General features: G+C 37.4%; 2 protein-coding genes across 12 annotated transcripts in view; one reads left to right on the top strand and one right to left on the bottom strand.

The window, feature by feature from the left end:
- CAPZA3 (capping actin protein of muscle Z-line subunit alpha 3) lies at positions 7,280-8,349 on the bottom strand. The gene has a single exon (NM_033328.3). The coding sequence runs from the start codon at positions 8,197-8,199 to the stop codon at positions 7,300-7,302; it is 900 nt and encodes a 299-aa protein (NP_201585.1). The 5' UTR covers positions 8,200-8,349; the 3' UTR covers positions 7,280-7,299.
- Positions 8,456-10,934, top strand: part of PLCZ1 (phospholipase C zeta 1) — a 92,404-nt gene continuing 89,925 nt past the window's right edge. For 9 of the 11 annotated variants that reach the window (XR_001748912.2, XM_017020183.2, XM_017020178.2 and 6 more), the window contains exons 1-3: positions 8,456-8,536; positions 8,959-9,107; positions 10,124-10,247. Coding sequence is in view for 8 of the 11 variants with exons in the window: in XM_017020183.2 (XP_016875672.1) it covers positions 9,097-9,107; positions 10,124-10,247 (135 nt within the window). In the remaining 3 variants the exon portion in view is untranslated. Of the gene's footprint in view, positions 8,537-8,958; positions 9,108-10,123; positions 10,248-10,934 lie in introns of those variants that run through there. The other 2 variants (XM_047429828.1, NM_001330769.1) reach the window with 2 other exon arrangements.

Below are 10,934 nucleotides of genomic sequence, written 5' to 3'. Positions count from 1 at the left end.
TAGCAACTTGGGAGGCCAGAGCAAGAGGATCCCTTGAGGCCAGGAGTTCAAGACCAGCCTGGGCAACATAGCAAGTTCCCATCTCTGAAAAACAAACAAACAAAAATAAGGTGAACAAGTACCAAGGCAGAATTAGAGATAAAATGTGTTCACTTTTAGGGAATTTAGAGCACCTCTGGTGAGGCCAGTAGAACAGGCTTTTTAAAAAAGATGCTGGAGGCCAGGCACGGTGGCTCACACCTGTAATCCCAGCACTTTGCAAGGCCGAGGCGGGTGGATCACCTGAGGTCAGGAGTTTGAGACCAGCCTGGCCGACATGGTGAAACCCCATCTCTACTAAACGTAGAAAAAATAACCAGGCCTGGTGGCGCATGCCTGTAATCTCAGCTACTTGGGAGACTAAGGCATGAGAATCACTTGAACCTGGGAGGCGGATGTTGCAGTGAGCCGAGATCCCACCACAGCACTCCAGCCTGGGCGATAGAGCAAGACTCCATCTCAAACAAAAAAAAAAAAAAAAAAAGAAAAAAGAAAAGACAAAGAAAAGATGCTGGAAGATAGGGACACTCAGGTCATGGAGGACATTAGACTGCTAAGCTAGGGAATTTGAAATGTATCCCCTACTTAGTAGATATTTGTAAAAAGTGTTTGATCAGGATTGTGAGGAATATCAGTTAATAAGCAATTGAGGCTTATAAAGATGAATTTGGAAAAACTTCATAGAATAGGTTGGAGACTAAGAGAAAAAGAAATGAAAACAGACCAGTTAGACAACTTGATAAGTGAAAAATAACAAGGATTATTAAGGGGATAAGAGAATAAATTTTAAAAATTGCAAAATAGAAATAGACCCAATGAATTGAATTTTAATAAATGGATAATTAATAAATGACAAAGGGAATAAATATGGAAAATGCTTTCAAGGATAGAAACAAAGGAATCCAATGACTTATTGGATTTTATTTTGTGTTGTTTTATTTTATGATTTTACTTTTTAAAATCTTTGATTGTAGGTTCAGGGGTACACATGCAGGTTTTTTACACAGGTGCATTGTGTGTGACAGGTGTTTGGTGTACAGATTATTTCATCACTCTGGTAATAAGCATAATACTCGATAGGTAATTTTTAAATCCTGCCCCTCCTCTGACCCTCCACCCTGAAGTAGGCCCCAGTGTCTGTTGTTCCTTTCTTTGTCTCCATGTTTAGATCCCACTTATATGGGAGAAAATGTAGTATTTGGTTTTCTATTCCTGGGTTAGTGTGTTTAGGATTATGGCCTCCAGCTCCATCCATGTTGCTGCAAAGGACATAATCTTGTTCTTTTTTATGGCTGTATATGGTGTATATGTACCACATTTTCTTTATCCAGTCTACTGCTGATGGGCATTTAGGTTGATTCTATGACTTTGCTATTGTGAATAGTGCTGCAATGAACATATGTGTGCATGTGTCTTTAAGGTAGAACAATTTATATTCGTTTGAGTATATACCCAATAATGGGATTGAGGGGTTGAATGGTACTTCTGTTTTAAGTTCTTTGAGAAATCACCAAACTACTTTCCACAGCGGATGGACTAATTTACATTCCCTTTGTGTGTTCCCTTTGGAAAACAAGTTAAGAATGCTTAAAATCTTGACCTTGAGTTAATGGTAAGATAGTGCTTCCAAGAGCGGAAAATAAGAGAGAGTAATTTGTTTGAAGTGGGGCTAGGGGACAGGAAAGAAAGAAGCGATTTGGATCTGGGAATGTTGATTTTTGACATAGTATGGCTTGGACTGGTAGGCAATATTGGAAATGTGTAATCATTGTCAGGAACTGGGGATAGGGGAAATGGAACATTGTTCTTCAGTGGATATAAAGTTTCTGTTATGCAAGATGAATAAGTTCTAGATGTCTGCTGTACAACATAGTACACATGGTTAACAATACCTCATTGTGTGCTTTAAAAATATGTTAAGATAGATCTCATGTCAAATGTTTTTACAAAAAAACCTCACAAATGAACATAAGGAAATGTTTTGAGGTGTTGGATATGCTTAGTACCTTGGCTGTGATGGTATCATGGGTGTATGCATATGTCCAAATTCATCAAGATATATGCATAAATGTGTGCAATTTTTGTATCTCAATTATACCTAAGTAAAGCTGAAAAAATGAGAGGACAAAGAACTAAAGTTGGAAGAAGCCTGTGTTTGGCTGAGGGGTGGATGAGGAGATATGGAAGAAATAGTGGATGAGGAGATATGAAAGAAAGTAGAGAAGAGATAAACTAAGATGCAGGCACAACTGAGGAAGTAAGGTTTTCAAGATAAAACCAAGTCCCTGTGATAACTGAGGAAAGGTAATTGGAATGAATAATTGATATTGAAACTTTTGAGAATGGGTGTTAGTTATGCTGATGGAATAGAAGCCAGGGGGTAGAGTTAAGGCAGCATGGCAAGGTGTAGAGGGCATGAATTTTGAAGTGTGACAGGCCTGAGTTGGAATTCCAGTTTTGCCACTTACCAGCTGTGTCAGTTAGGCCACGTTACCTAAGAAATGATAAAGGGGGTATCACCACTGACCCCACAGGAGTTTGAGACCAGCGTAGACAACATGGTAAAACTCCATCTCTACAAAATATTAAAAAAGCTAGGTGTGATGGTGCATGCCTGTAGTCCTAGCTGCTTGGGAGGCCGAGGTAGGAGGATCTCTTGAGCCTGGGAGATGGAGGTTGCAGTGAGCTGTGATTGTGCCACTGTACTCCAGCCTGGGTAACAGAGTGAGATACTGTCTCAAAAACAAACAAAACAAAACAAAACAAAACAAACAAAACAAACGCCCTGATGGATAAAGAGCCTAGATGGGAAAAGATCAAGAATTTAGGATTCAATGCACAGGAGGAAAAGTTAGTCTTAGAAAGGAACATATACTTCTTTGGTGACTATTTGGAAGGAGAAGAGCATAAACATATTTTTAAATGCAGAGAAAAGCAGCAGTAGCTCTTTCGAAAGAATGTGTCTTCTCGGTGAAGGAACAAAGTCGTTTGCTATGTGAAGCAGTGATGAAGAAGTGGAGCTTAGTAAAGTAGAGAAATTTGAAAGCATATCATAAAAAAGACTACAGACGTTAGTAGAAAAGAATAAATAGATTGCTCATCAGGAGTGAAAGACAAGTGACTGAAGTAGAGTCAAGATAGATTTCATGAGAATTTAGGAAAAGGTAGACTGGTAACCCATTTTCTAAGAATAGTAGCAAACCCTAGGGAGCTGCTTCAGTTATCCAAGTAAAGGGGCCAGAATCTAAGGTACGTCATGATGAGAAGATTGAGAAGAAGGTGAGATAAATCAGTAACATGGCCAAAAATTGGCTGAGTGGCAGTGAACCAAAATCACTTTTCATATTGACTCACTAAAATTTAATCTACTATGGAGAGGGCCTTTATAAGCTTTTGAACATCCAAAGAGTTGAATAGGAGCTCCAGTTGATTATTCCCAGAAATGCATGATACATAGAAGGGAGTAGTTAGGTGTTGTATAAAGTGATAAAAGTGCAAAGAAAGTGGAAACGATGAAGCATGCTTTAATCACAAGGCACTCATGAAGCCAGGGCATGTTCCAGAGCAGCAGGGACATACCGTAACATGCAGGCATGTTGAAAGATGTAAGTCTCCTCATGGACCTCTGCTTGAGTAGAACATGATACGGTCATTCCTTTAGCTCTCTGAACCAGCCTCCAAGGATAGAAAATCTTTGACAGAGAATCATGTAAAATGTAATCAATGTAAAATGAAAAGAAATGTATGACTTTTGAAGAACTTGATTTTCTTACATTTGATAGAGGAAAAATCTCCTACCATTTGGAGTCAGAAAAAAGCAAAGGTTTTCATCACAGCAGAAGACCAATGGCAGTTTCTGAATGGAATGAACTGCCTTGGAGTAAGGGGTAACAACGTCAGCACTGGGAATCTGCGGTGGGATGCATGCCTCCTAAGGGACAGCGGGTGTTGGTGGGTTACAAAACCTTAAGGCCAGTTAAACCTACTGTGCTTCCTATCTTTGTGATCCTTATTGATTTGTTCATTCACTCATTCATTTGAGTACTTACCATATGACAGACAATAACGGATTAGGTACTTGAGATTGACAAGATCATCATTCTCATGGAGCTTATATTTCTGTTGGGAGTGGGATTTGAGGGAAAGAATGCAGTGACTCCTCAATCTGAAATATTTTTTATGTGTGCATGTGCGTAGGCATGTGTGTATGTATGTGTCTTGAGTGCAGGTCTAAGTGTGTGTGTGTGTGTGTGTGTGTGTGAGAGAGAGAGAAAAGAGAGAGAGCGAGGTCAGAGAAAAAGAGAGGAAGAGAGGACAGAAAGAGAGAGAGAGAGAGAGGTACGGGGAACAGGTAGTAACTGCATTTCCCTGGACCTGCCAATTTCCATATAAGGAAAATAACTACCAAATTAAATATCTTTGTGGGACTACTCTTGACGTAATGAAGTATAAGTTCATGAAATAACTTTTTTTTCCTGTTTTGTATTGTCTAAGATTTCCTTGTTGCTTATCAAAAAAATTTGATATTATATGGTCAAGATTACTGTGCTGAGCTAGATACTCTCTTAATGCTACTAATGGGATGATAAATTTGTCAAAATCTTTATGGAAAGCATTTTGGCAATATATATTAACTATTAATATGTTCATGTCTTTTTAATATGCAGTTTTAAGGAATTTATCTCAAGGAAAATAACCTATGATGTGGACAAACAAATGTTCATCATAGCATCATTAATAACAGAGATAAAATGCTAAAAATTTAAATTATATATGAATAGAGAAATGATTTGTCTTGTTATGGACATCTACAGTATGAATATTGTGTAAATAATTAAAATTATGTGCTCAAGGAGTTTTTAATGACATGGGGCAATGTTTATGATATATGTGTTATAAAAAAGAACAAGATACAAATTTTTATATTTTGTCTATTCTTCATATTTAAAGCAGTTCTATAAAATTAGACAGAAGAAAATGGGCCACAATGCTTTATGCTTTAAGCATTTTCCACGATTTGTACATGTGACTTTTATATTCAGAATTATCAACAAATATTACTTAAAAAAACCCTATGTTAAAGCAGGAGCTAAATGCCTCTGTAATTATCCCACAAACCACTGGGTCCTAATCTGCAATGATCTGGAAAATCAACCCTTACACATATAACCATAATATCAATTCAAATTTTTGCTTAAGGCTTCACTGGATGGCTGTATTTTAGTGCTATGAGAGCAACTTTCTTTTCTGCTTTTCTTTAGAAAGTTTGTTTTTACCTTTTTTACATGGCAAGGCCCGTCCTTGGTCTGTGCATAGTAAATGCAGTAAAGTGGTAGCAATGGCCTTCACTGGGCTATGGTTTTGTGGGAAATGATTTTAATTAAGTAAAGAGAAAGCACAGGACATGCTATTTTAAGATTAGGGAACATTTCTTAAAATGTGGCCCTGAAATATTTTGCATCAGTGTAACCTCTGATACTTGCTAAAATGCAGATTTCCCAGCCTACTAAATCAGAATCCTAGGATGGGCCCCAGTAATGTATATTTTTAAAGATAAATCCCAGGTTATTCTCCTGAGATTCTCTAAGAATCATCAGCTGGGGAGGTTTGAGGTTTAGAAATTCTTGCACGGGATCTGAATGCTCCAATGTTAATAAGTAGAATTAGAACTGTTTTTCAATTGCATAAACACAAAATACAAAACACTTTGCTTCTTAGATAAATCAGAATTGGAGGATGGGGCCTACCTACTGCTGTACTGTAATCTTGTTAAAGAGTTTTACATTTGGGAATTTATTGAAAGAGCAGATACCAGTGGTCAGTAACATTGCTAGGAATAGTGGTAGGGTGAGTGTATAGGTGATTTACTCTGGCTAGAAAACAGCTGTCACAAGTTCCATTTCTTCTGGGATATCCTTTAAGGTGGAATGCTTGGCAAAATCAATGTACATCAGAGTCCATAACTCATAATGAAATAGGCTTCCATGGGGAACTGTTGTACCCTGAAGCATGAGCACTAAGTCAGATACACTTGTCACTATGTGGTACGGTCTGATTGTTTGTGTCCCTCAAAATTTATATGTTGAAACTGAGTCCCCGAGGTGATGGTATTAGGAGGTGAGGACTTTGGGAGGTGATTGGCCATGAGAGTGGAGCCCTCATAAACGATATTAGTGCCATTAATAGAAGTTCTACAGAGCTGCTTTGCCCCTTTTACCATGTAAGGTCACAGTCAGAAAGTCCTATCTATGAGGAAACACACCTTTACTAGGCACTAAATCTGCTAGCAACTTGGTCTTGGACTTCACAGCCTCCATAACTGCGACCAATAAATTCCTGTTATTTGTGAGTTACTCAATATATGGTATTTTGTTATAGCAGCACAAGTGAACTGTGACACTATGTGTCTGGAAGATGTGAACAACTTGAGAACTTAGGTTTTTCTTAGGTACAACGGAGATAATACTAGTACCAGATTAGTGATGAAAAATGTTATGCAAAATATTTAGCACAAGCCATGTTATGTAATAAGTACTTCTAAGTGTTTACAGTGACGACTTCACAAAAGCCTGGCTGTAAAAGTTTGGGAAGTCAGGCTTCTCTGGTTGGCTTGGAAGACCATGTTAGTTATCAGACAAGCCAGGGATTTTGAGTAACCCCAATTCTTGAGGGGAAGAAAGTAGAGTGGAAGAGGAGCCAAAATTACTAATAGTCCTTCATCTGAGCTAGATTTTTGATATCTGTTGGTTTTGTGGAAAATCCAAACCTAATGTCTTTTATTGAAATTCCCCATCTCGTGGATGGTCTAGGACTGAATTGAGTTATGTAAAATATCATTTGTGGAGTGATATTCATTTGTATACCTTTTCAGTTCGAAACAGTCAAAAGTCTCTCTCTCTCTCTCTCTCTCTCTCTCACACACACACACACACACACACACACACACGTACACACCCACACACAGCCTTAACCCTGGCCACCTCTATACTATTTCTGGAATCCCAGATTCTATAAAACTATTTTAGTTTCTAACAAATGTCTTGGTCTTTATGATGGTCACCACCATGAAACACAGTTACTTTACACTTTCTTGCCTTGTTCATAAATATTCCCCAAGTAAAATTACTTGCTACACTTTTCCCATTTAAATTTGCATTGGCTAAGTGAGAGACATCTCTACAGATTGCTCAATTTTAGGAAAATAACCATTCCCAAGAAACACAAACAAGTCAAATCAAGATAGTTACCAGGAGCAATTCTTTATATTATCCAGTTGCACAACACACTTCTTGAATAAATGACATATCCTAATTTAGGATACATCACCAGATTCAAGTCAGAGAGTATCCTGTGCCAGTCAATAAGAGTGCGGGTCACTGGAAGATCCCTTCGTAGAATTTTTCTCAGGGCTTCATTGGATAACTCCTGTAATTCTTCCAAGACTGCAGCTTGAAATTTGTTCTCTTGCTCTTCCACAAGCCTTGCAAAACTTAGAGCCAGTTGAGCTTGGTTAACTATTTCCAAGCTTTCTTTCAGGTCCTTGGATATTTCAATATGAAGGTTGACACACCTGAAGAAGTGAGCTTGCACAAATATTCTTCCCGTTACTTGGGTTAGAAATGGGTTAACTTGGAAAATCCATTTAGATTTCCAAAGTCCGTTCCAGCACTCTCCTGTTTCATAGTTGTGATCTTCAATGCAAGCTATCAAGTACTCCTTACTTTTGACAGTTTTTCTCAGCATGTTGCAATTTCCTTTTGGATAGTGGTCATTCACATACAGTTTTAAGGCGCACAGAAGAACAACTCTCAGGTATTCTGCCTCATTCTGAATGATACCATGACTTTGGATGTCTTTCAGCTGATTTTGAAGCAGGTCATATTTGAAAGAAAGTTTGCTTTGATGGTCAAAAAATCGGTAGTCGCCCATTACATTGTGGTGAGACAAGAGTACTGGATTTCCATCGATGCAGAGTGGTACAGAATATTTTTGGCAGTGTTGGTGGCCTGCACACTCACCTTGGTGGTGCATAAGTTTTTCATCACGGATAAGCAGACAGAGATCATCAAAGGCATTTACAAATTCCCCTGGAGGGGCCTGTAATAACAGTCTGCGAATTACTCTTTCCTTGTCCTTCCTGCTCAGCACGCTAAGTGTCATGTTTGGTTGCAACAGAAGCAAAGCTTCTGAAATGAGGAGTGTTCAAAGGATAAGAAAACATTCCATGAGCCACCTTTCCCATCAAGGTGTTAACATTCAAGCTGAAGGTTTTTATGTCTATCCATGAAAGCAGGCAGTCTGGCAAGGTCTGAGCCTCCTGATGAGGTCATAAGAAGCTTTCCTTGTGAAGTGTGGAACCTCTGATGATATCACAATGGGAATTCAGACCAAAAGGAAAAAATGACAGTCACCTGACAGTGTGGTGCCCAGCCAACCAGCTATACCTCTTTTGAAGATTTTAAGAACTTAGCCTCCTGAACAGTCTTCTTCGAAAGTGGTGTGTCTCTGTGTGCATTATATGTTGTCAACGATCTAGAGAAGCAGCCCAAAGTTTCAAGAGTGACAGCACTTTGCAACTTCAGGAATCACAATGGTGTTGATTTATACTCAGGCTCTCAGAGTAGCTGCCCAAACCCACTGGAAGCATATTATGATGAAAGGTTTGAGGGGTTTAAACAAAGTAGTAAAAAATAAAAGGAGATACAATGGCAGTTCATGGAAAAATGCCAGACATCAGGGAAAGCTGTGTTTTCAAATATTGTGGGTTTGGAGGTGGTCAGAACGTAAGAAGCCAAACAGTTTCAAGGGCAGGGTAGTGCAGGTACCACATCTTGCATACTGTTTCTATGGTTAAGTGTGAGCTAGCTTCAAAGAACGAAGGCAAAAAAAACCACTGTGTGTTCTCTGCTTTCTCCCTAGAAAAGTGGTAACAGCTGATGAGTATCAAGAAATTATTTTCTGCAAAGGGGCAGAGTTAATTGTATTTGGAACCCATGACAGCACCTACTGGGGAAAGACTTCTAAGTGAGGAGAAACGGCTCTACAGGTCATGAAACTATGGAAATGAGATATCCATTGAGAGCTTCTTTCTGCTCCTCTTCTTCTTTCTCCTACTTATCCTCTTTACTTGATGCTGTTATTCTTTTCGAGGAGTTCTGAATTTAAGTCCTCTTCATTTAAGTTGAACTGCTTTTCCCTGTTTGTTCTGAGCTTTTCTAACTTTCCCTGCATTCTGGTATCTTTTTCTTACAAGAACATGAGCTTTGCTGGATTAAGTCATAACTATTAAATTTAAGGAGATCTCATTAATTCGTTCTAACAATCTGAAACTTAGTAGTTTTGCACAATTTTTACCTATACCTTTTATAATTTTAGTGATAATTGTCATTATCTCATTTCGATCTTAGTTTTTCAAATGGAAGTGTCCTAGTTTTTGTAGTTTATCTATGATAAGTAAGCTTTTAAAAATTTTTTTCGTTTTTCATACCAAATATACACTCACCATGGTATTTCTGATGCTTTTTGATGGTACTGTCTTGAGTGTGTGTGTAGCTGGGCATTGGACTAATGTAGTAATAATAACTTTATCAGTCATGGTTACTATTTATTGAACACTAAGTAGCAGAAACTGTGTTCGGTGGCATATTAGGAATTCATCTAATGCTTCCACTTTCCTTAAGATTCAGGGTTAATTTGCTCACCTTTCTGGAAGAGAGAACTAAAACAGAGAGGTCAGGTGAGAGGCGATCTTGAAGTCTAGCTGCCTTCCAACTTCATGCCTTCAGGCAATAGATTGTTATAATGTTTTAATGTATGTTCTAAGTAATGACTTCAATTCTCAAATTTTAACTTTAATTCTTTTTTTTGTATTTTTACTGTGCTATGCCCTTTCATACCTTTACCATAGCATAGTAACTACTTAATTTTGTTTTTTAAAAAATATTTATCATACAATTATACTATAATTTACTTTAAACATATTCTTTAAAAATAAAAATAATACAGTAAATCAAATGTTTCTTTAGGAATTTTAAATATTCAATGACTTTCTGTGAGAATTTCCTTAACTTTTTTGTGCTTCTACATGGTTTTTGTCAAAGATTCAGGATGACTTCAGAGGTGGAAAAATTAACCTAGAAAAAACTCAGAGGTTACTTGAAAAATTAGATATTCGGTGCAGTTATATTCATGTGAAACAGATTTTTAAGGTAAGATGACATCCACCCCCTGCCTATCCTATCCTAGGTGGAACTTAATCCAATGTCAGTAATTGTCATATAAAGGTTAGTCTCTTAAGAAGAAAAGCAATTAATTATACTAACTATATTTACAATCAAGATGGAGAGCATTTCAGTAGAAGGTAAAATTAGTTGTTGAGAAAATCTGAAATAATACCAGGATATCAGTTTAGAATAATTTCCTGAGCATACAGAAATGCTAACATTAAACCTAGGATTGGATGTCTAATTATATCAGACTGATAATGGTAACTGTATTAGATGTTAGTGATTTATAAAAAGAGTGGAGAATAAGCCCAAAGTTAGCAGAAGGGAGGAAATAATACAGATTAGCACAGAAATAACTAAAATAGAAAAGAAAAAAATTAGAAGAAATTGAGGAAACTAAGACTTGTTTTTTTGAAAAGTTAAATAAAATTGACAAATACTTAGAGTAAGAAAAAAGAGAGAGGAGTCAAATAAAATCAGAAATGAAAGTGGAGACATTACAACAGATCTCACAAAAATGAAAAACACATAGAGCAATCATACACCATAAAATTGGACAATCTAGAAAAAAAAGGGAAATTTCAAGAACCATATAACCCATCAAGACTGAACCAAGAAGAACTAGAAAGGTTAAACAGACCAATAACAAAAAGGAGACTGAGAGGCTGT

The sequence above is a fragment of the Homo sapiens genome, chromosome 12 (genome assembly GCF_000001405.40).
Source record: "Homo sapiens chromosome 12, GRCh38.p14 Primary Assembly".
In the NCBI taxonomy this organism is placed as follows: domain Eukaryota; kingdom Metazoa; phylum Chordata; class Mammalia; order Primates; family Hominidae; genus Homo; species Homo sapiens.
This window is presented reverse-complemented; position numbering and strand designations above follow the sequence as displayed.